The 25,834-nt window shown below is 38.1% G+C and overlaps 1 protein-coding gene across 2 annotated transcripts in view; it reads right to left on the bottom strand.

Moving 5' to 3' along the window:
• Positions 1-25,834, bottom strand: part of ALMS1 (ALMS1 centrosome and basal body associated protein) — a 224,162-nt gene that overhangs the window by 47,407 nt on the left and 150,921 nt on the right. For both annotated transcript variants that reach the window (NM_015120.4, NM_001378454.1), the window contains 3 exon segments: positions 3,371-3,541; positions 5,159-5,293; positions 12,076-12,246. In NM_015120.4, the coding sequence (NP_055935.4) occupies positions 3,371-3,541; positions 5,159-5,293; positions 12,076-12,246 (477 nt within the window).

The following is a 25,834-nucleotide window of genomic DNA, read 5'->3' as shown; positions in this document are numbered from 1 at the left end:
CCTGTCCTCTGCCTGTCCCCCTGTCTTTTAGCATTTTCTACTTGTTTTTTTCTGTATGGAGGCCTGCATGATTCATTCTTTTTCTTTAAAGTTCAGTACTATCGCAAACATACATCTCAGTATTGAACACTATATACAAAATTTTCCTAGGACTTGGTACGTCCTTTTAAATTACAGGTTCAAGCCAGGTGTGGTAGCATGTGCCTACAGTCCCAGCTACTCTACAGGCTGAGGTGGGAAGATCACTTGAGCCCAGGAGTTTGAGGCTACAGTTAGCTATGATCACACCACTGCACTCCAGCCTGGGCAACAGAATGAGACTCCATGTCTAAAAATACATACATACATACATACATACATACATACATACAATTGTAAGTTCCATTCTTCCTTATATCTTTATTTTTCTATTATCTTCTTTAGAGGCAACAACAGATATCATTGTGTTGGATTTTCACTGTCAGCCTTCAAATTCCATCATTTTTTTTTAATTGCTTTCATCTCTTTCTTCTAATTGGTACTTTTTTTTCATTTCATTTTGTTCTATCCCCTAAATCTCCCTTTTCATTTCATTATTCTATCAATTTTTATTTCATATACTTCATGTCTTCTAAAATTATTCAGAGTGTAAAACATTTAGAAAAATTTTTCTTATCTTCTAGAGTATGCTTTTACAGATTATATTTCCATCTTTCTTTTGCAAGCTATGTCTCCCACACTAACCCCTGCAAAGTTGCAATGTTATATTTCTTCATCTTATGTATTATTTTTGTGTGTGACAAATAGTATGACATTAAATTAACCACCTTAGCCATTTTTAAGTGTACAGTTCAGTAGTGTTAAGTATATTCACATTGTTGTGCAACAATCTCTAACTCTTTCATCTTGTAACACTGAAACCCTACACCTACTAAACACTAATTCTCTGTCCACCCTCTCACAAGCCTGGGCAATCACTATTCTACTTTCTGTTTCTATGATTTCAGCTACTTTAGATATTTCATACTGAGGTGGGAAATTAAAGAAAAATAAAATTAAAAAGAAAGAGAAATAAGTTTTCCTGCATTAGGCTGACTTGTCCCAGAGGCAGCAACAGGCACAGCCCAGACCCAGGAAAAGTCTTGATAATATTATGTAATGTGCTCTGGAGACTCTCCCAGCACTCCTTCAACACAGGGAGAAGAAAAAACAAATTTTCCTTTGTTTTATGGAATGAGTTTATAGATTCCTGTTCTCTGTAACTAGTGACTTCAAGTATTCTGTTTTATCTAAGAAGTACAATGAAGGTCATGAGAAGCCTGAGTAGGCCTGAACTACAGCTGCCTGGGCACCATAGTGAAGGTTATGGGATAAGCCCGTGCCTAGACAAACCTAGATAATGGACATCTGGGTTGCATAGCAACGGTTATGTGCAATCCTGAGTTATGAACCTGTTACAATTTGATTAACTGTCTTTGTCCTGCTTCTGTATTCCCGCTTTCACGCCACTGTAAGCTTGCTTCAAGCTAGCCCATCCCCTTTTGTGAAGTGTGTATAAAAGTCAAGTGCTGTCTTTGTTCTGGGCCCAGCCTTTGGACGTGAGTCTGCTGGGCCTGAGTGCACTCAATAAAAGACTCTCCTGTTTAAACCCAAGGTCTCTCTCATCCTCCTAAATCCCTCAACATTTGCGAGAAACCATATGGTATTTATCTTTTTGTGACTGATTTATTTTACTTAGTATAATGTTCTTGAGGTTCACCTACCTTGTAGTATGTGATAGGATTTCCTTCTTTCTTAAGGCTGCACAATACAAATATGTATGTAACATGCTTTCTTTATTGACAAATAATTCCCATTTTCTTAATACATTCATCTGTTGATGGACATGTGGGTTGCTTCCACCTCTTGATTATAAATAACGCTGCAATAAACATGAGTATACAGGTAGCTTTTTGAAGTCCTGTTTTGAATTCTTTAGGTTATATGCCCAGCAGTGGCAGTGGGATTGCGGGATCATATACTAATTCTTTTTTATTATTCTGAGGAACCTCCATAATATTTTCCATAATAGCTACATCATTTTACATTCCCACCAATGGTGAACAAGGGTTTCAATTTCCTTGCATCCTCACGAACATTTGCTATTTTTTCTTTTGATAGTGGTCATCCTAACAGGTGTGAGTGATATCTCATTGTGGTTTTGATTTGCATCTCTCTTATGATTAGAGAGATTGGGCATCTTTTTATATGCTTGATATGGCATTTGTATATCTTCTATTGTCTATTCAAGTCCTTTGCTCATTTTAAAATAAGTTACGTGTTTTTAAAAATAAGTTGTTTGGGTTTTTCTTGCTATTGAGTTGCATAAGTTCTTTATATATTCTGAATACTAATCCCTTATCAGATCCATGATTTGCAAATATCTTCTCTCATTCTGTAGAATGCCTATTCACACTCTTGTCTACTTTGTCATGCAGAAGTTTTCAAGTTTGATGTAGTTTCATTGGTCTATTTTTGCTTTTGTTGTCTGTGTTTTTGGTGTCACATCTGAGAAATCACTGCCAAGTTCAATGTCCTGAAGTGTTCCCCTTATGTTTTCTTCTGGGAGTTTTATGGTTTTAAGGTCTTACATGTATGTCACTAACCCTTTTTGAGTTAACTTTTGTATGTGGTGTAAAGAAAAGGTCCACCTTTATTCTTTTAAATGTGGATATCTAGTTTTCCCAACACCATTTGTTGAAGAGACTATCCTTTCCCCATTGTGTAGTCTTGGCTATTGTCAAAAAATCATTTATTTTGTATATTCTTGATGTAAGCAGTTGAACCCAGACTATTTCCAAAATCCAGTATGGGTAGTTTAGCTCCTTGACTCTTTTCTCTCCTTATGTAGGCTGTTCCATCTTCCTCTAAGAGGTAAAGCTTGATGGCTAGGTAGTAATGTCTTGTGTTCTATACGCTTTTATGTCAGAAAAAGAGACCCATGGACAAACAAAAATAAATGTGATTTTATTGTAATTTTTTAAAAGTTTGTATTGATGGTCTCACTATCTTTGCTATAGTCTTCTGGAAGGCCTTTAAGGTTGTCTCTGGGGACTGAGACAAGATACTTCACTTCTAAAACTATCAGCCTTAGGTATTTATTTATAATCCTGTTTCTAAGTTGCTAATATCTTTTCCAAAAAGTAACAATTACTTTTTGGAAATCTATATATATATATAGTAACCTAATAGTAGCATCAAAGTACTTTACACAAGAAAGTTTTAAAAAAAGAAAAGGAATTTTTGTTTAATCATGAGGCTATATTCTCATCAGAATGAAATGGAAACACTAACACTGACCCTCACATACACACAAAGACACACACACTCATACACAACCCAATCCCATTACCTTCAATATTGATCTGTAGGGATTCTTTATTGTTTGGCCAGGCTTCCTCGGGAACTGTCTTCTTCCTATGGATCTCCTCTTTCTGTGTAATGGCTTTAGTGTCTGGCAAGTTCTTCATTTCTGGGTCTCCTACTTGAGCTGAGTGCTCTGCAGCAGCAGCAGCACTGGAATCTACGAAAGGGAAATTAACACACTATACAGACAGGAACTTGACATAAAAGATTTTTAAATGTCTCTCAAGTACGTATTATGTGAAAGGCTTTGTTACTGATATTGAAGAAAAAAGATGACTCAGAAATGCGTTTAGAAAATAATTGAAAATTGGGGCAAAAAATCACATACGTAAACAGATATACTGTAAGAAACAGTCAGAAAAAGAGGTAGCGGTATTCAAAGAAAGAAAAACTAATTGCAGGTGGGAGTACCATAGAACTCTAGACAACTGATTTTGGCATTAGAAGAGAGCTAAGATGGGATACACATTAAGATGGAAAAAAAAGGTGACTACATAACACAAGAATGGTGTCAGGAAAGTAACTTAGCATCTAAGAAACAGAGCAAGTATATAGCATTTGATTATAGAATTTATAAGGAAAAGAGGTGAGAACTAGTGTTAGAAAGTTGTTTGAGAGTGGACTCTACAGTTCTAGAAGACAGTGCTAAAAGAGTTTAGATTTTATCCTTACAGGCAATGAAACACTAAAGTTTTTGATTAGGAGATTAACATGATCAAAACTGTTTTTGGAACATTCATTTAGTAATAGTAAAATGGGGTAAAATTCAGAAGTGTTGCCCAGAATACAATCTAACCTTTTTAAACAAGCAATACCTAAAGAAGAGAAGCAGCTAATCATGTTCTAAAATGTTTTAGTTTACAATTGTGGCAGAAACTATCAATACTATCTGTCCTCTAATATCCACTTTCCTTTTCCTCTAAACAGAACCCTAACTTTAGCTGGGCACATTGTTATTAGAATAACAACTCAATTTCCCAGCTTCCCTGGTACATGTGACCATGTGTCTAAGTCTGGCCAATAGAATGCAAAAGGAATGGTATATATAGCTTCTCAGAAGTATCCTTAAAGGAAGGAATGTGCTTTTTCCTTTCCTTTCTTCCTGCTGGTTGCAATATGGGCTGATGGCTACAGCTTAAGAATGAAGGCCAAAAATGTTAGAGTAACAAGAGAGCAACAGCTTTGTTCCGATACTCTGGAGTACCAGGTCAACTCTGGATGCTTACCTCTGGAGTTTTACAAAAAAGAGAAAGAGTTTTCTGTCTTCTTCAAGCCTATGTTATTTTGCTTTTGTTTTCCTCTCTGAGTCAAAACTAATCCTAACGTAAATACACTATTAGGGTTATTTAAATCAGCATAATCCCTTTGAAGTAAAGTAACTGATAGGTAGGAAGTAAACAAGCTGAATTCCTAAATAAAGGATTATGTACAAAAATGGTATTAGAGGGTCCGTGTCTCACAGAATTGAGAGATTTTATCAGCGGAGGTAAAAAGTCCATTAAATGAATTTCTGGAAATTAGATTAATTTGTTTACTATATTCAAAACCCTCCAGAAATATCACAAAGAACTTTAAATATGTTAATTTTACCTGCCAAAGTATATAAAAAATATAGCTAAACATACCTTAACTATTTCATATATACATGAGATAGAAGAGAGCTGAAGACAGCAAGAAGAAAATAGAGAATATATTTCTGTTTCTGTTCTTAAGGGAATAGTCTCATTTTAGAAGACCAGAAGAAAATAATACGCAGACAATCCAGTTTAGCTACCTGCAGTATCTTTCTGCAAAGATTCTTTTTCTTTAGCCTGGGCAGCCTCAGTCACTGCCCTTGTACTGTGAATCTCTTGCTGTTTTTTGTCTGAGAGGTTCTCATCCCCAGTGATTAGCACTTGAACTGAGGCATCTGGAATAACGACATCATTTGATTTCAGAAAAGGAAAGATAATAAACACAACAGACAAGTAATCCTCCCCCACAATTACAAACAAAACCCCAAACCCATTTACATATTAGGAAAAAAGTACCTCTTAGGCTCCACCTGTGTAAAAACTGTGACATGAATTGAAAAATTTTTCATACTTTACTGTGTACAACAACAGTTTAAATAAAATAACATTCTAAAGCCGGGCGGGGTGGCTCACACCTGTAATCCCAGCACTTTGGGAGGCTGAGGCGGGTGGATCACTTGGGGTCAGGAGTTCGAGACCAGCCTGGCCAACACGGTGAAACCCCAACTCTACTATAAATACAAAAACTAGCAGGCGTCGTGGTGCACGCCTGTAGTCCCAGCTACTCAGGAGGCTGATGCAGGAGAATCACTTGAACCCAGGAGGTGGAGGCTGCAGTGAGCTGAGACTGTGCCACTGCACTCCAGCCGGGGCGACAGTGAGACTCTGTCTCAAAAAAATAAAATAAAATAAAAACATTCTAAAAAAAATCTGTTCCTTGATGGTTTGATGCAACAGTAAAAAAAAAAACAAAAAAAAAAAGGAAAGATCAGGTATGTTTTTTCAAAGGAAAAAAGATGTGAACAATGCTTTCAAGTTCTTTGGCCTATTCAAAGTTTTTACCACTTATGGAGTCAATTTTTATATTTCATATAATCCAAGAAAAGCACTTTTATCATCTAGATTTTAAATACAGCATTCTCATACAATTTTTTAAAAATTTCATGCAGTTATAGCCTTTTAAACTTGTCTAATACTATTTCTCTTTTCTACTTTTTTGATCATTTTTGATTTTTTTATCTGTAAGTATATTTTTCAACAAAGAAATCAGAAAGGCAATAGAGATTGCTAAAAATGCAAAGAACCAGTTAACTCTTGCTACCTCTTTTAAATTCACACATTTTTCTTACTTCTTATTACTTCAATCCTCCTAATCTCTTTTCTCTAAATGTCTTCTGAAATTTTTAGATCATTAAAAAATGTTTTAATGTTAATAAAATATTTCAGGCATACCAAAAATATAGGCAACAAAATGAACACCCAAGTATTTACCATAGAGCTTAAGAAATAAAATATTACAAATATAATGTTTCTTGTGTAAAGTGTTCCCAATGATGCCATTCTCACTTCTCAGTAGCAGCCTTTACACCAAATTTACAGTTTATCAATATCAAGGATGTTTTGTAATTCTTTACCACATTGCATATATTAACCAACAGTGTACAGCATTGTTTTGCAAGTTTCTTTAAACCTTATACGAAGGGTACAATACTGTCTGTACCTTTACGCACCATGACTTTTTCACTCAATATTATGATTTTGAGAGTTAGTCAATTAATATATGTCTTTGATTCTGAACGTTATGTATTATTCTACTGTATTAATATATACGAATACACCTCTGTTGATCAACTTAAGGCTATTTCCTATTTTGAAAAGCACTGCAATGAACATTCCTGTGAAATGTCTTTGCAGGTGGTGTGCATTATAAATATCTTCTCCCAGGCTGTTTCATGTCTTTTAATTGTTTGATATCGTTTAGGCAAAAAGTTTTTCAGTTTAATAATGGCATATTTATTATATTTTCCCTTTAGGGTAGGTGCTTTGCGTGTCCTGATTAAGAAATCTTTTATTATCACATGGTCATAAGGACAGACCATCTAAATTCTAAAAACTTAGTTATCCCATTTACTTTTAATATGCCTGGTATACTATACATTTCTGTTTAGTGTGTGGCAGTGATTTATCTGATTTTATTTTTTCCAGATATATATTCATTGGTTCAAACTCTATTGAATAGTTCCTCTTCATCCTTTCTCCACAGATTGTTATGCCATCTCTGTGTATGTTAGGTTTCCACATTCATGGATATGTTTCTGGGTCACCATTCTGTTTCATTTTTCTTTCTGTTTATTCCTTTGTAAATGATGTCTTAAATAAGCTACACATGTAATAAGTCTTGATGTCTGGTATGGCAAGATCCCTTATCTTATTCTTTAAATATACGTTTTTTGATTTTCCATAAATATTTTAGAATCAGCCTGTCAAGTTCCACGAAAAATCCTACTGGAATTCTGAGTAGCAATGCATTTAATTTAGAAATTAATTTAGTGACATCTTTATTATTACAATTGTGTAATTTTCCAACTATTTAGGTCTTAATATATTTCAATGTAGTTTTATAATTTTCTCTTAAAATAGTTTTACATGCCCTTTAAGATTCATTCCTAAGTACCGTATTGTTTATCTTACAGACCCTTTTAGATTCATTTCTAAGTACCATATTGCTTTTTAAAATATCTTTTTAATTGTACAGTGGAAAATATGGGGGAAAACGTGCACATAAAGAGTTCAGTGAATTACAAAAAGCAAGTGTATATAACCTTACCCAGGTTAGGAAATAAAATCTGGCTAGAAACTTACACGCTCCCCTCATTCTTCCTTCCATCTCCCCCATGCTGAGGGTAACACCTGATTTTAAATACGACAGGCTGGAGTGCAGTGGCGTGATCTTGGCTCACTGCAAGCTCCGCCTCCCAGGTTCATGCCATTCTCCTACATCAGCCTCCTGAGTAGCTGGGACTACAGGCGCCCGCCACCACGCCCGGCTAATTTTTTTTTTTTTTGTATTTTTAGTAGAGACGGGGTTTCACCGTGTTAGCCAGGATGGTCTCGATCTCCTGACCTCGTGATCCACCCGCCTTGGCCCCCCAAACTGCTGGGATTTCAGGTATGAGCCACCACGCTCAGCCCTACTTTCTCTATTTCCTGGTCTTTCACATTTCTGAAATGTACTGTTGAATTTACCTACACATTCCTGTAATTTTTCCTGAATATATTTGAGAATATACATATAAGCTCACAATTTTATCTTTCCTGGTATATTTGACCCTTTTATTACTATGAGATAAACTCTTGTATCTACCTTTAATTTTTTTTTTTTTGTCCTGGAATTATATTTTGTCCATATCAACACTAGCTTTTCTTTAGTCAGTATTTGCCAAATGTATTTTTTTCTTCTTACTTTTTTGAGGTGAAGGACAATATAAATTCTGATTTAATAAAAATAACAATGTATATGTTTTAAAAGTCAAATAGTTTCACGAGGCTTACAAGAAAAGTCAGCAGTTCCCTCTCCTATCCACTACAGATCCCCAATTTCTAAAGGCTACCATTTTCAACTTCTTTAGCCATTTATTCTAGGATCAATATCCTTATTTCCTAATAACATGCTTTATACTACCATATCATTTTATGTTCCAGAAATTATCTATTGATTTCCTTCTAAGATCAATTACAATCTCACATCTTTCAGTTCTGGGATTTATTCTTATACTATATACTAAGATCTATGGATTTATCTCATTATAAAACCCTCCTACCCATATATATCCTTTCATCCTATCTTCTGAAAAGTTTTAGCCCTATATTAACATTCAGTGTTTATATGTCACATAAATAATGGTCTGAGTGATTAAATCAATATTCAATTAAGTTTATATTTAGTATTTACATATGATTGTTTATATAATTATTATTCACAGCTAAGCCAGCTAGTATACTGTAATTACATTTATTTTCTATTACAAACTTCTGCTTTCCTGAAGAGTTAATAACCGCTTTGTTTTTGCATTTTCTGAGTTTCTATGTGCCAATCCCTACTTCATCCTCATAGCTGCAAATAGAACTGAAAACCTCCTCTAAGTATAGTCAATCACATAAGGTATCCTACAAATTCGACTTTTTCCTTGCAGGCTTCAAACTGAATGGGTTCTAGGCCTTGTGTACCACCGCCACAGTGAGAATTCGTTTCCCATTTCCTGTGTTGGCCCCCTCCATTTCCTCAATCCCACCATGTTTTCTTTCTTTCCTTCTTTTGTAACTTAAATAAACTCCCTTGTTTTAGTGAAATAATTTTCTCTCAGAATTCTAAGGTATTACTCCTTTGGTTTCTAACTCTGTTTATCACTTTTGAGAAGTCTGATGCCAGTCTCATTTCCATTTCTTTATATGGAATGTATGTTTTCTTTTTGGAAGCTGTTAGAATCTCTTTTCAAATCAGTTTTAAAATGTCAAGGTCATGTGCCTCGGTGTGTATTTTTATGTACATGGTAGTCCCTTTTAGTATGAAAACTCACATCTTTCAGTTCTGAAATTTATTCCTATACTAGTCCTTTGGTTCTTTCTTTTTTGCCTTCTCTATTGTCTTTACAGAATACCTGCTTTGAATGTTGAAACTTTGGGGACAATCTTGAATTTTAAAAAATCTTTTCCCTTCTCTTTATGTTCTATTTTTGAAGAGATTTTCTCACTTTTATATTCCACCCCTTCCACTGAGAATTTTACTTATGATATGATATTTTATGAGCTCATTTAGCTATTACATAGGTCATTGTTCAGTTTCCCAGGCAGGCATTCTCTCCTCTATTCTTCTTTAATTCTCTAAGGCAAGAGGTTCTGAGGCTAGGCTTCTCTCAAGGTGAAATGGCTACTAAGGACTAAGCCAGGAGGAGGGCTTTTCCTTAGGATGCAAAGTCTGTAAGTAGACCAACAGATGGGAGATTGTAGAGGTCCTCAGATAACTGAGCCTGACTTTATTTCAAATGTATCATCCTTACCAAATGAAGCCTGGGAGTGAGGTAAAGCTGGTGAGTTCTTTGTGCAGACTTCTGACAGAGTTCACTTCTTTCCTGCCAATTTTTCCACATCTACACTCACCTGAAGTATCTGACACTGGGATCTTAGGCTTATCTGTTTCAACCAAACTGCCACTAGCATATGGATAGTGGAAAACACGTAACGGATTCCCTGGTGCAGAAGAGTTTTCATTTATGAACTATATTTTGTAAAATTATTTCTTTTTATTTACTTGGCAGTCTCAATGTTAGCTGGTAGATATGCTTCTCTTATTTCAAAAGGGATTTATAAAAAGACTTCACTGTGTTTTGAAGTAGAACGAAATTATCTAAAAAAATGGAGGGATAGCTTTAGGAGATATACCTAATGCTAAATGACGAGTTAATGGGTGCAGCACACCAGCATGGCACATGTATACATATGTAACTAACCTGCACATTGTGCACATGTACCCTAAAACTTAAAGTATAACAATAATAAAATAAAATAAAAAAAACCATGCAGATCTCATTTATTTTTCTCACAAAGGCACTGATGCTATCACACAAAGTCATTAACACTATGCCAAAACTAGAACATAGAGCCACCCTACATTTAAAAACTGCCCTGGGATCAGTAGCACCTATTTAGCTAATAGTTATACACAGGAATAAAAAAGTATAAATGTAACAAACACAGGCAATTATACACACAGAATTTTCAGTGGCTACTGGAGTTTTCATTTAATAAATATTATCATCTATCAGCTACAAAAGTATAATGGCAGGGGTGCAGAAGAAAAAAAGCTTTTATAAAACAGTGGGGGCCAGACACGGTGGCTCATGCCTGTAATCCCAGCACTTTGGGAGGCCGAGGCAGGCAGATCATCTGAGGTCTGGAGTTCAAGACCAGCCTGGCCAACATGGTGAAACCCCACCTCTACTAAAAATACAAAAAATTAGCTGGGTGTGGAGGCGGGTGCCTGTAAACCCAGCTACTCGAGGCTGAGGCAGGAGAATCGCTTGAACCCGGGAGGTGAAGGTTGCAGTGTGCCAAGATCGCGCCATCGCACTCCACCCTGGGCAACAAGATCGCAACTCCAACTCAAAAAAAAAAAAAAAAAAAAAAAAAAAAGATTGAAACTCAAATACCCACAGTGATCAGCAGACAGATAAGGTGGATGAATGAAGCAGACTGGGTCTCAGAGCTGTGGAGATGGAAGCAAACAAGAGAATGGATGTCCTGCCTGCAGGGGGACAGCCATGGCTCAGCTGCAGCTGATTACCACCATGAATGAATGCGAGCCAAAGGGCAGTCAGATTTTCTGATTTTTCAAGGAAAATCAAAAATCTTAGTTTTGAATGTTGGTGGAAAATTTTAAAAATTTTAAAACAACATGGGGGCTGGATGCGGTGGTTCATGCCTGTAATCTCAGCACTTTGAGAGTCTGAGGCTGGTAGACAGCTTGAGGCCAGGAATTCAAGACCAGCCCAGGCAACATAGCGAGACCCCCATCACTACAAAAAACCCCCCATCACTATAAAAAAATTATTAGCCAGGCATAGTGGTGTGTGCCTCTGGCCCCAGCTAGTCAGAAGGCTGAGGTGGGAGGATCACTGGAGTCCAGGAGTTCAACACTGCAGTGAGCTATAATTGCATCACTGCACTCCAGCCTGGGTGACAGAGTGAGACCCTGTCTTTAAAAAAATTAAAAAAAAAAAATCATGTCAGCTACATATCTCCCTACAGAATCCAGCCTATAAGACATTACTTTGTAATATCTGACAGAGATAAACTAATGTGGCATTTAATCAAGATTTTCTGTGGATCTTAGTATCTAAAACATACTTGATTGGGTATTATTTCATTTCAAAAGTTGTATCATATTTTATTATCCGTTGTGAAAATGAAGTTTATAATTTTCAAAAATCTCTGAAGCTTATGCTTCCTTTATTATTAAAGGATTTTATGAAATTTTGCCTTCTTGTATATGCTCAATATAACAGCAAGGAGAAAAGCTTGTATAACAAAACAGAAAAAAAGGATAAAGATTGGATAGTAATCTCATTTAGGATGAAAAGGGGAGAAAAAGCTACAAAGTATACAAAGCCAATCCAGTTACCTGCATTTTCATTCTGCAAGGGTTTTTCTCCCACTGGCAAGGATGCCTTAGTCACTACCCTCTTACTGTAGATTCCTTCTTTATGTTTAATGTTAACAGTGGCTGAGAGGTCATCATCTCTTGTGCCTAGCACCTGAGCTGGGAAGTCTGGAGCAATGGCATCATTGGATCCTACAGAAAAACGGGGAAGTAATACAAAACACAAATAGCGACATGAGATTGAGAAAGACTTTTTAAAAATTTGCCTCTTAGACCAATTCTATGAAAAAAGCACTACAGGCCAGGCACGATGGCTCATGCCTGTAATCCCAGCACTTTGGAAGGTGGAGGCAGGCGGATTGCCTGAGGTCAGGAGTTCAAGACCAGCCTGGCCAAGATGGTGAAACCCCATTTCTACTAAAAATACAAAAATTAGCCAGGCGTGGTGGCAGGTGCGTGTAATCCCAGCTACTTGGGAGGCTGAGGCAGGAGAATCGCTTGAACCTGGGAGGCAGAGGTTGCAGTGAGCAGAGATGTTGCCACCGCACTGCAGCTTGAGTGGCAGAGTGAGACTTGGTCTTAAAAAACAAACAAACAAACAAACGAACAAACAAAAAAACACTACACTACAATGGGTAGGATAATCAGAAGGAAACGTCAGTCAAACTGAAGTTGTAAGCCATGTAAAATAAATTCTAATAATACAAGGCAGAGATGCAAATGATATAAAAGAAGATGTAAAATGGAGAATCAGTTCAGGAGAGAGAATATTTCCAGCTCATGATGGTTTTGGAGGAAGGAGAAAATGGATTGTATCTTGGAAAAAAAGTAGTTTTTTGATATAGAGAGGAAGGAAGAAAGGCATTTTAGGCAGAAGTTATAGCATAAGCAAAGAAAAGAAGTATTTAAAAATAGTGGACACTTTATGGTCAGGTTGGATTGCAGAATACATTAAGGACAGTGGTAGAAGATATTAAAAAATAGTTGTTTGGGACAAAATTCACCAGTGCATGGGATCCCAAGCTGAAGAGTATAAACTTTATTGTATATAAAATGCAACATAACGGAAGATTTTTCAACAAAATAATAATATATTTAGCTATGTTTCCAGAAGATTAATCTGACAATACAAAAGACAAAACACTGAATGGAAAATGACAGATGATAAGTAAAAGATTTGAAAGTATTTAATTTTCTTTTAAAATATATTTCAATATTCCCACATTCCTTGATAAAATAAATTAATCTATAATCCATGCCACATCTAACAGGCAAAAGAACATTTCTGGACATATAAAGGCTTATACTAATCTCCTATGAGATGATTTTTCTAAGATCCTCTATTTCCTGAGCTCCTAGTATGTATATGGCAATAAGAGCTGGGTAAGTACCTGTATCATTAGTACAGTGCACAGTAAGCCCTGAAGAGTTTTGCAGGACAGACTGCAAGGAAAACACCAAGCCTTCTGGGCCAAATAGATTATATTGGGTTCTTCTCAACTTCTGTAACATCACTTTCTCTTATTTGCCTCTTACCTCTCCGGAAACTTATTTTTTATATTTTCTTCTACCAAATCTCTCAATGGTGGAGTTCCTTAAGGAGTCGGAACTGGCCTCTCTTCTCTTCCTAGGTAAACTTATCGACCACCAAGGTATATGCTGATGACCAACAAATAATGTACCATTGCCCAAGAGTACCTTTCTTCTGAGCATCCGACTCCAGCATTCAGGGACACGGCTAGCTCTTACAGCACTTTTATGGAAATTAGAAAAGATGTGTCTTCTTCAAATCAAAATGTTTAAGTTACTATATATTGTAGTACAACACAAACAACTGTAAATGGTGGTCATTCTTTTCACAAATTCTCCCAGGGAGTACACACCAGCAGCAGCATGTGCACGCACAGTCTGCACCACCACCCCTCGTTCTCCAAGAGAGATGACCCTTTCAAGTTCAGAGTCAGGTGAGGAACAATTACATCCCTGAGAGCAGTGGGTGAATAAGCAAGAGAATCAACCTCAGAGGAGGTGAGAGGCAGCTGAGAGAGTGCAGCCACACATGTGTGCGTGTCAGTGAATGTACATATACTTATTTTCCTGTACCTGTGCATAGCTATAGTATGTGCGAGTATAGATTTATGTTTGGGGCAGCACAAGAGTTAACATTATTGCTCCAGAACTCTAACTAAAGATCTGGAATATTCATGCCCATCTGTATGTTTTCATAAAAGTATATATTTATAATGTGAATAATGCCACCTTATATGTGGCACTATTACCTTAACATGTGTAAATTAACTCTGCCTACATTCAATTGTAGACCCAACATCTCTATGTGGATGTATAATAGGAATCTCATTTTTAACATGTCCAAAGCAGACATTTTGATCATCTTCCCCAAATCTGCTTTTTCCTCAATCTCCACCTCAGTAAATGGCACCTCTATTCACCTAGTTGCTCACGCCAGACATTTTTTTCACGCTCTTCTCCCTCACTCTCCATACTCCTATCACCAAATCTAGGAGAAACTATTTCTAAAAGGATGCTGACTGTCCATTTCTCCCTATCTCTATAGATAACACTGTGATACTCATGCTACCATCTCTGGTACTGTCTAAAGCAACAGCCTTCTAACTAACTGGTGTCTCTACTTGCACTCTAACCCGCCCCGCCATGGCTCTCCGCCTTCCCATCTATAAACCATTTCTCCATATAGTGGCAAGAATAAACTTTACAAGTATAAATCAAACCATAATTGCAGTAGTACTAGAATAAAATCCGAACACTTTAATACAGTTGATAAGATCCTGCATGATCTTGAACCCACCTATCTTTAACCATATCTACCCATCACTATGCTCTACCCTGTTAAATAAAATTTATGGGAGTCCATTGTTTTAGACTGAGCTCCTGCACTAAGCCCCAAGAGACCAAACCAAAATGTAGTCACTTGTACTAAATGCCATACAATCCAACTGAAACTTTAAGAAAGAAGGAAAGTTCCAAAATGGACCAGTTTTTTCTAAAAACAAGAGATTCACAGCAACTAACTGAAAAAGGGGCCAGTCACCCTGAGCTGGCGTAAAAAGGAACTTATCTCTGCTTTAATCTTTACCAGGTAAGTAACCTGATGTTAATCAATATGCTTTTTTTGGTATTACAGATGATCCACCACTTACAATGTAGTTATGTCCTGGTAAGTCCATCATAGGTTGAAAATACTGTTAGTCAAAAATGTATTTAATGCCCCTAACCTACCAAGCATCATAACCTAGCCCAGCCTACTTTAAACATAATCAGAACATTTACAATAGCCTACAGGTGGGCAGAATCATCTAACATGAAGTCTATTTTATAATACAGTATCAAATAGTTCATATAGTTTATTAAATACTGTACTGAAGTACGGTTTCTACTAAATGTGTATCATTTCCATACCATCATAAAGTCAAAAAATAGTTCAACGGAACCACTGTAAATTGGGGACTGTCTGTATTGTGTTTCCTTGTTCCTGGTCTGGCTACCTTACCAGAACCAACTCTCTCCCATGCCCAGTGCACCCTTTCCATATTATAGAATGGGATGTTGCCTGATTCATGAATCACTACAAAAACCAATCAGATCTTTAAATTTGTTGGAATTTCAACCCACGCTGCCTTCTTTCCATTTGTCAAATGCATCAAGCTCTTTTCTGCTTCAGGGGCTTTCCCCATCTTCTTCCCTCTCGCCGGAACATTCTCACACTCCACTCTCTGCCTACCTAATTCATTCCCATCCTCTAGAGTTCAGCTCAAAAGTTTCTTCCTGGAAAAGATCTTCATAAGTTCGTAAAACAAAACTGGGTCTACTTGTTTATCTTGGAACTCTTCTTATTTTCTTAGCATTTATCACTTGTAATTACGTACTTATTTATGGTTTATTTGTTTAATATCTGTCAACCAACGTGAACATAAACTCCATTATAGTTTATTTTGAGCAATACTGAAATTGTAACACCTACCACAGTGTATCTGCGTGGAACACAGTAACATCTTTAATACCTATTGTTTGAATAAACAAATGAACGTGAGCTGACAGCTTCCCATCATTAAAAACAAACAAACAAACAAAACAACCTGATCATTGTAGAAAATTCAGGAAAGTATGAAGGAAACAATAAAAGAAAACCCAACTAAACCTTGGTTATATATCCTACTAAGTGAACATTTACAGGGATCATACCATATACAGTCTCATTACTATTTTTTCACTAAAGTAGAGATACATTTTAAATGGAATTCAGGGTTTAAAGTCAGCATGTGAGGTGAAAACCTTGCTATAGAGGGTCAAAATCACCCTTGAAGGTACCTTAGGAAGGCATATGTTGAAATTGACATCGTGTCTGCTCAAGAAACCCATGAGGGTCCACTTTTTCCTCCAAGCTTGTAACATAGCACTGCACCTGAATCTGAGCACCTGATGAAGTATCTGATATTGTACCAAAAAGACATTTCTTCAAACTCTAGAATCATACCCAAATAAGCAAGATAAGATGCCTACACTACAAAAGGCAAACGAGGACTACAATTAATTTTGAGAATGAAGTTTCCCATCTTTCATTACATATTCTTCCGTAGTCATATGTTCATAAAGGGTAGAGTGCATGCACAAAACACCTGCACTTTTAAAATTCTTTCTCTCCTCTTTTGTTAAGTATATTTATTTGAACTTGCTTAAGTTAAATACATGCATGAGACAATATCAACATATGCTAAAATTATTTATCACAGCTAAAGACATCTCACCGAATTCCACTCATCTGATTTAACTGTTTATGCTATCTTAAAGTTTCCTGTATTTCTCGTTCTGTTACTTTGCTAATTTCGTATACTCAACCCTGATTTGGAACATAGACATCTACTTTTAAAATTCAATTAAGATTTTTGGTAACTTCTTAAGTTTTTTTAACTGTGGTAAAATATACATAAAATGTAACCATGACCACGTGCGGTGGCTCACGCCTATAGTCCCAGCACTTTGGGAGGCTGAGGCAGGAAGATCACTTGAGGTCAGGAGTTTGAGACCAGCCTGGCCAACATGGTGAAACCCCATCTCTGCTAAAAATACAAAAATTAGCTGGGCGTGGTGGTGGGTGCCTATAATCCCAGCTACTCAGGAGGCTAAGGCAGGAGAACTGCTTGAATCTGGGAGGCGGAGGCTGCAGTGAGCTGAGATTGTGCCACTGTACTCCAGCCTGGGTAACAAAGCAAGACTCTGTTTCAAAAAAAAAAAAAAAAACCACAAAAAATTAATCATTTTTAAGTGTACACTTCAGTGGCATTAAGTATATTCACACTGTTATGTAACCATCACTACCATCTATCTCCAGAACCTACTCATCTTCCCAGACTTAAACTCTGTACCCATTAAATAGTAACTTCCCACTCCCCCTAGCCCCAGCCCCTAGTAAACACAATTCTACTTTGTGTCTCCATGAATCTGACTTTTCTAGGTACCTCATATAAGCAGACTGGCTTATTTCAGTTGGCCTAATGTCTTCAGAGTTCATCCATGTTGTAGCATGTACCAGAATTTCATTCCTCTTTAAGGCTGAATAATACTCCATTACACATATATGTCACATTTTGTTATCCATTCATAGATCAATAGACATTGGGTTGTTTCCACCTCTTGGCCACTGTGAATAATGCTGTTATGAACATGGGTGTACAAATAGCTCTTGAAGATCCTACTTTCACTTTGTTGGGGTATATATTTAAAAGTGGAATTACTGGATCATACTATAATTCTATGTTTAATTTTTTGAGGAATAGCCACAATGTTTTCCGTAATGGCTATACCATTTTACATTCCCACCAGCAATAAGCAATGGTTCCAATTTCTCCATGTCCCTGACAACACTGATAATTTTCCATTCTTTGCTTTTTTATTTATTTATTTTTTTACTATACTTTAAGTTTTAGGGTACATGTGACAACGTGCAGGTTTGTTACATATGTATACATGTGCCATGTTGGTGTGCTGCACCCATTAACTCGTCATTTAACATTAGGTATATCTCCTAATGCTATCCCTCCCCGCTTCCCCCACCCCACAACAGGCCCCAGTGTGTGATGTTCCCTTCCTGTGTCCATGTGTTCTCATTGTTCAATTCCCACCTATGAGTGACAACATGCAGTGTTTGGTTTTTTGTCTTTGCAATAGTTTGCTGAGAATGATGGTTTCCAGCTTCATCCATGTCCCTACAAAGGACATGAACTCATCATTTTTTATGGCTGCATAGTATTCCATGGTGTATATGTGCCACATTTAATTAATCCAGTCTATCATTCTTGGACATTTGGGTTGGTTCCAAATCTTTGTTATTGTGAATAGTGCCGCAATAAACATACCTGTGCATGTGTCTTTATAGCAGCATGATTTATAATCCTTTGGGTATATACCCAGTTAATGGAATGGCTGGGTCAAATGGTATTTCTAGTTCTAGATCCCTGAGGAATCGCCACACTGACTTCAACAATGGTTGAACTAGTTTACAGTCCCACCAACAGTGTAAAAGTGTTCTTATTTCTCCACCTCCTCTCCAGCACCTATTGTTTCCTGACTTTTTAATGATCGCCATTCTAACTGGTGTAAGATGGTATCTCATTGTGGTTTTGATTTGCATTTCTCTGACGGCCAGTGATGATGAGCATTTTTTCATGTCTGTTGGCTGCATAAATGTCTTCTTTTGAGAAGTGTCTGTTCATATCCTTCGCCCACTTGTTGATGGGGTTGTTTGTTTCTTTCTTGTATATTTGTTGGAGTTCATTGTAGATTCTGGATATTAGCCCTTTATCAGATGGGTAGATAGCAAAATTTTTCTCCCATTCTGTAGGTTGCCTGTTCATTCTGATGGTAGTTTCTTTTACTGTGCAGAAGCTCTTTAGTTTAATTAGATCCCATTTGTCAATTTTGGCTTTTGTTGCCATTGCTTTTGGTGTTTTAGACATGAAGTCCTTGACCATGCCTGTGTCCTGAATGGTATTGCCTAGGTTTTCTTCTAGGGTTTTTATGGTTTTAGGTCTAACATGTAAGTCTTTAATCCATCTTGAATTAATTTTTGTATAAGGTATAAGGAAGGGATCCACTTTCAGCTTTCTACATATGGCTAGGCAGCTTTCCCAGCACCATTTATTAAATAGGGAATCCTTTCCCCATTGCTTGTTTTTCTCAGGTTTGTCAAAGATCAGATAGCTGTAGATATGCGGCATTATTTCTGAGGGCTCTGTTCTGTTCCGTTGGTCTATATCTCTGTTTTGGTACCAGTACCATGCTGTTTTGGTTACTGTAGCCTTGTAGTATAGTTTGAAGTCAGGTAGCGTCATGCCTCCAGCTTTGTCCTTTTGTCTTAGGATTGACGTGGCGATGCAGGCTCTTTTTTTGTTCCATATGAACTTTAAAAGTCGTTTTTTCCAATTCTGTGAAGAAAGTCATTGGTAGCTTGATGGGGATGGCACTGAATCTATAAATTACCTTGGGCAGTATGGCCATTTTCACAATATTGATTCTTCCTACCCATGAGCATGGAATGTTCTTCCATTTGTTTGTATCCTCTTTTATTTCATTGAGTAGTGGTTTGTAGTTCTCCTTGAAGAGGTCCTTCACATCCCTTGTAAGTTGGATTCCTAGGTATTTTATTCTCTTTGAAGCAATTGTGAATGGGAGTTCACTCATGATTTGGCTCTCGGTTTGTCTGCTATTGGTGTATAGGAATGCTTGTGATTTTTCTACACTGATTTTGTATCCTGTGACTTTGCTGAAGTTGCTTATCAGCTTAAGGAGATTTTGGGCTGAGACAATGGGGTTTTCTAGATATACAATCATGTCATCTGCAAACAGGGACAATTTGAGTTCCTCTTTTCCTAATTGAATACCCTTTATTTCCTTCCCCTGCCTGATTGCCCTGGCCAGAACTTCCAACACTGTGTTGAATAGGAGTGGTGAGAGAGGGCATCCCTGTCTTGTGCCAGTTTTCAATGCTTCCAGTTTTTTCCCATTCAGTAATGATATTGGCTGTGGGTTTGTCATAGATAGCTCTTATTATTTTGAGATATGTCCCATCAATACCTCATTTATTGAGAGTTTTTAGCATGAAGGGTTGTTGAATTTTGTCAAAGGCCTTTTCTGCATCTATTGAGATAATCATGTGGTTTTTGTCTTTGGTTCCGTTTATATGCTGGATTACATTTAGTGATTTACGAATGTTGAACCAGCCTTGCATCCCAGGGATGAAGCCCACTTCATCATGGTGAGTAAGCTTTTTGATGTGCTGCTGGATTCGGTTTTCCAGTATTTTATTGAGGATTTTTGCATCAATGTTTATCAGGGATATTGGTCTAAAATTCTGTTTTTTGGTTGTGTCTCTGCCAGGCTTTGGTATCAGGATGATGCTGGCCTCATAAAATGAGTTAGGGAGGATTCCCTCTTTTTCTATTGATTGGAATAGTTTCAGAAGGAATGGTACCAGCTCCTCCTTGTACCTCTGGTACAATTCGGCTGTGAATCCATCTGGTCCTGGACTTTTTTTGGTTGGTAAGCTATCGATTATTGCCTCAATTTCAGAGCCTGTTACTGGTCTATTCAGAGATTCAACTTCTTCCTGGTTTAGTCTTGGGAAGGTATATGTGTTGAGGAATTTATCCATTTCTTCTAGATTTTCTAGTTTATTCGCATAGAGGTGTTTGTAGTATTCTCTGATGGTAGTTTGTATTTCTGTGGGATCGGTGGTGATATCCCCTTTATCATTTTTTATTGCGTCTATTTGATTCTTCTCTCTTTTCTTCTTTATTAGTCTGGCCAGCAGTCTATCAATTTTGTTGATCTTTTCAAAAAACCAGCTCCTGGATTCAATGATTTTTTGAAGGGTATTTTGTGACTCTATTTCCTTCAGTTCTGCTCTTAGTTATTTCTTGCCTTCTGCTAGCTTTTGAATGTGTTTGCTCTTGCTTCTCTAGTTCTTTTAATTGTGATGTTAGGCTGTCAATTTTCGATCTTTCCTGCTTTCTCTTGTGGGCATTTAGTGCTATAAATTTCCCTCTACACACTGCTTTGAATGTGTTCCAGAGATTGTGGTATGTTGTATCTTTGTTCTCACTGGTTTCAAAGAACATCTTTATTTCTGCCTTCATTTCGTTATGTACCCAGTAGTCATTCAGGGGCAGGTTGTTCAGTTTCCATGTAGTCGAGCGGTTCTGAGTGAGTTTCTTAATCCTGAGTTCTAGTTTGATTGCACTGTGGTCTGAGAGACAGTTTGTTATAATTTCTGTTCTTTTACATTTGCTGAGGAGTGCTTTACTTCCAACTATGTGGTCACTTTTGGAATAGGTGTGGTATGGTACTGAGAAGACTGTATATTCTGTTGATTTGGGGTGGAGAGTTCTGTAGATGTCTGTTAGGTCTGCTTCATGCAGAGCTGAGTTCAATTCCTGGATAGCCTTGTTAACTTTCTGTCTCATTGATCTGTCTAATGTTGACAGTGGGGAGTTAAAGTCCTCACATTATTGTGTGGGAGTCTAAGTCTCTTTGTAGGTCTCTAAGGACTTGCTTTATCAATCTGGGTGCTCCTGTATTGGGTGCACACATATTTAGGATAGTTAGCTCTTCTTGTTGAATTGATCCCTTTACCATTATGTAATGGCCTTCTCTGCCTCTTTTGATCTTTGTTGGTTTAAAGTCTGTTTTATCAGAAACTAGGATTGCAACCCCTGCCTTTTTTTGTTTTCCATTTGCTTGGTAGATCTTCCTCTATCCCTTTATTTTGAGCCTATGTGTGACTCTGCACATGAGATGGGTTTCCTGAATACAGCACACGGATGGGTCTTGACTCTTTATCCAATTTGCCAGTCTGTGTCTTTTAATTGGGGCATTTAGTCCATTTACATTTAAGATTAATATTGTTATGTGTGAATTTGATCCTGTCATCGTGATGTTAGCTGGTTATTTTGCTCGTTAGTTGATTGATGAAGTTTCTTCCTAGCCTCAATGGTCTTTACAATTTGGCATGTTTTTGCAGTGGCTGGTACCAGTTGTTCCTTTCCATGTTTCGTGCTTCCTTCAGGAGCTCTTTTAGGGCAGGCCTAGTGGTGACAAAATCTCTCAGCATTTGCTTGTCTGTAAAGGATTTTATTTCTCCTTCACTTATGAAGCTTAGTTTGGCTGGATATGAAATTCTGGGTTGAAAATTCTTTTCTTTAAGAATGTTGAATACTGGCCCCCACTCTCTTCTGGATTGGAGTTTCTGCTGAGAGATCAGTTGTTAGTCTGATGGGCTTCCCTTTGTGGGTAACCCGACCTTTCTCTCTGGCTGCCCTTAACATTTTCTCCTTCATTTCAACTTTGGTGAATCTGACAATTATGTGTCTTGGAGTTGCTCTTCTCGAGGAGCATCTTTGTGGCATTCTCTGTATTTCCTGAATGTGAATGTTGGCCTGCCTTGCTAGATTGGGGAAGTTCTCCTGGATAATATCCTGCAGAGTATTTTCCAACTTGGTTCCATTCTCCCCGTCACTTTCAAGTACACCAATCAGACGTAGATTTGGTTGTTTCATATAGTCTCATATTTCTTGGAGGCTTTGTTTCTTTTTATTCTTTTTTCTCTAAACTTCTCTTCTCGCTTGATTTCATTCATCTGATCTTCCATCACTGATACCCTTTCTGCCAGTTGATCAAATCGGCTACTGAGGCTTGTACATTCGCCACGTAGTTCTCTTGCCATGGTTTTCAGCTTTATCAGGTCCTTTAAGGACTTCTCTGCATTGGTTATTCTAGTTAGCCATTCGTCTAATCTTTTTTCAAGGTTTTTAACTTCTTTGCCATGGGTTCGAACTTCCTCCTTTAGCTCGGAGTAGTTTGATCATCTGAAGCCTTCTTCTCTCAACTCGTCAAAGTCATTCTCCATCCAGCTTTGTTCCATTGCTGGTGAGGAGCTACGTTCCTTTGGAGGAGGAGAGGCGCTCCGATTTTTAGAATTTTCAGTTTTTCTGCTCTGTTTTTTCCCCATCTCTGTGGTTTTATCTACCTTTGGTCTTTGATGATGGTGACGTACAGATGGGGTTTTGGTGTGGATGTCCTTTCTGTTTGTTAGTAACAGTCAGGACCCTCAGCTGCAGGTCTGTTGGAGTTTGCTGGAGGTCCACTCCAGACCCTATTTGCCTGGGTATCAGCAGCAGAGGCTGCAGAACAGCGAATATTGGTGAACAGCAAATGTTGCCGCCTGATCGTTCCTCTGAAAGTTTTGTCTCAGAGAAGTACCCGGCCGTGTGAAGTGTCAGTCTGCCCCTCCTGGGGGGTGCCTCCCAGTTAGGCTACTCAGGGGTCAGGGTCCCACTTGAGGAGGTAATCTGTCCGTTCTCAGATCTCCAGCTGTGTGCTGGGAGAACCACTACTCTCTTCAAAGCTGTCAGACAGGGACATTTAAGTCTGCAGAGGTTTCTGCTGCCTTTTGTTTGGCTATGCCCTGCCCCCAGAGGTGGAGTCTACAGAGGCAGGCAGGCATCCTTGAGGTATGGTGGGCTCCACCCAGTTCGAGCTTCCCGGCCGCTTTGTTTACCTACTCAAGCCTCGGCAATGGAGGGCGCCCATCCCCCAGCCTCGCTGCCGCCTTGCAGTTTGATCTCAGACTGCTGTGCTAGCAATGAGCGAGGCTCCGTGGGCGTAGGATCCTCCGAGCCAGGTGCGGGATATAATCTCCTGGTGTGCCATTTTTTAAGCCCGTTGGAAAAGCGCAGTATTAGGGTGGGAGTGACCCGATTTTCCAGGTGCCTTCTGTCACTCCTTTCCTTGGCTAGCAAAGGGAATTCCATGACCCCTTGCGCTTCCCGGGTGAGGCGATGCCTTGCCCTGCTTCGGCTCACGCTCGGTGTGCTGCACCCACTGTCCTGCACCCACTGTCCTACAATCCCTAGTGAGATGAACCCAGTACCTCAGTTGGAAATGCAGAAATCATTCGTTTTCTGCATCGCTCACACTGGGAGCTGCAGACTGGAGCTCTTCCTATTCGGCCATCTTGGCTCTCTCCGCTTATTTTTTAAAATAACAGTGATTGTAATGGGTGTGAAGTGGTATCTTACTATGGTTTTGTTTGGTATTTCCCTCATGATTAATGATATAGAGAAGATTTTCAGGTGTTTATTGGCTATTTGCACGTCTTCCTTGGAGAAATGTCCATCAGATTCTGTGCCCATTTATGAATCAGATTGTTTGGGTTATTGTTGTTGAGTTGTAAGGGTTCCTTACATATTTTAGGTATTAATCTCTCAACAGATAAATGATTTGCAAATATTTTCTCCTATGCTGTGAGTCACCTTTTCATTCTTTTGACTGGGTTTTGTGTACAAAAGTTTTGAATTTTGATAAAGTCTCCCATATATATTTTTCTTTTGTTGCCTTTGTTTTTTTGTTTTTTTGTTCTTTGAGACATGGTCTCACTCTGTTGCCCAGAGTGGACTGCAGTGGCGCAATCATAGTTCACTGCAGCCTTAAACTCGAGGGTTCAAGTGATACTCATGCCTCAGCCTTCCGAGTAGCTGGGACTACAAGCGTAGGCCATCATGCTTGGCTGATTTTTAATTTTTTGTAGAGACAGGGTCTTACTACATTGCCCAGGCTGATCTCAAACTCCAGGGCTCAGGCAATCCTCCCATCTTGGCCTCCCAAAGTGCTGGCATTACAGGCATGAGCCACCGCACCCGGCCTGGACATTTAAGTAATACAATGCGCCAACTCTGGAAACCAGATTCTACTTCCATCTCAGGGTTTGGTGTTGTTGCTTTATGTTGTTTTAATAACTTCTCTGAATTAATTCTGTAAAGTCTATATTCTTTTTATATATGGCCACTGAAGTTACTACTCAATTAGCTTAATGGTCAGCTAATGCCTGAACAGGGATTTCCTTAAATGCCTAGAACCAATAAATCTCCCGGCCTTCATCAAATGGCTCCACACATATGTTGGGATGTACCTTCAACACTGACCTAGGCAGCTGTCAACTTTACCTTAGCCTTCCCTTTTCTTCTTGTACAGATCCTCAAGGTCAGCCAGAGATAAGACCTAGCGCCTTGGGTCTTTCCTGAGCATACACAGGCCTACGCATACATGGGGTCTCCCAGAGTCTTAGGAATATGTCAGCGCCTTTCAAAGAATCTATCAACATCTTATCCTCGGGTGTTACTTTTAAGCTTTCCAGTTAGTTTACTGTTTACCTCAACTGCTAGTCCACACCTCAGCCATTATGATATTAAAATACTTGTCTGTAAATGTTTTTGATAAACATCTTTCCCTCCCCTTCACCAGAGGCCTTTAGCACTGGATGGCTCCCAGTCAGGTCAAGTAAAGATAAGCCTTTTGTGTGGAATCTTCACGGAACCACTAGATAGGTCAAATATTAACAATTCTTTGGGAAGGAACTTTTAAAAGAGGCCCAGCTCCATTTTGCATCCTCTGGTCTTGGAAAAGAAAGCTATATTTCTGAAGGCTATCACTGAGCTGAGGTACTGGGAATGGGACTAGGGCAAGTTAAAATGCTAACGCTTACTGTGCTTAGTGGGATTTGGCCATTTTTCTTGAATAAATACTCCCTGGGTTGCTATTAAGACTGGTTTATTTGCAGACATTTATCTCTTTCTTTGGATGGCTGTTTCCTTTGCCCCAGTTTTTTGCCGTCGTTGTTTGCATCAGTTCTATTATTTACTGATTCTCAACTGAAGAACAGTTATTTGGCCCAAATATTTGCTAACAATGA

The sequence above is a fragment of the Homo sapiens genome, chromosome 2 (assembly GCF_000001405.40).
Source record: "Homo sapiens chromosome 2, GRCh38.p14 Primary Assembly".
Lineage (NCBI taxonomy): Eukaryota > Metazoa > Chordata > Mammalia > Primates > Hominidae > Homo > Homo sapiens.
Note: the sequence above shows the minus strand (reverse complement) of the source record. Positions and strands in the feature narration are given on the sequence as shown.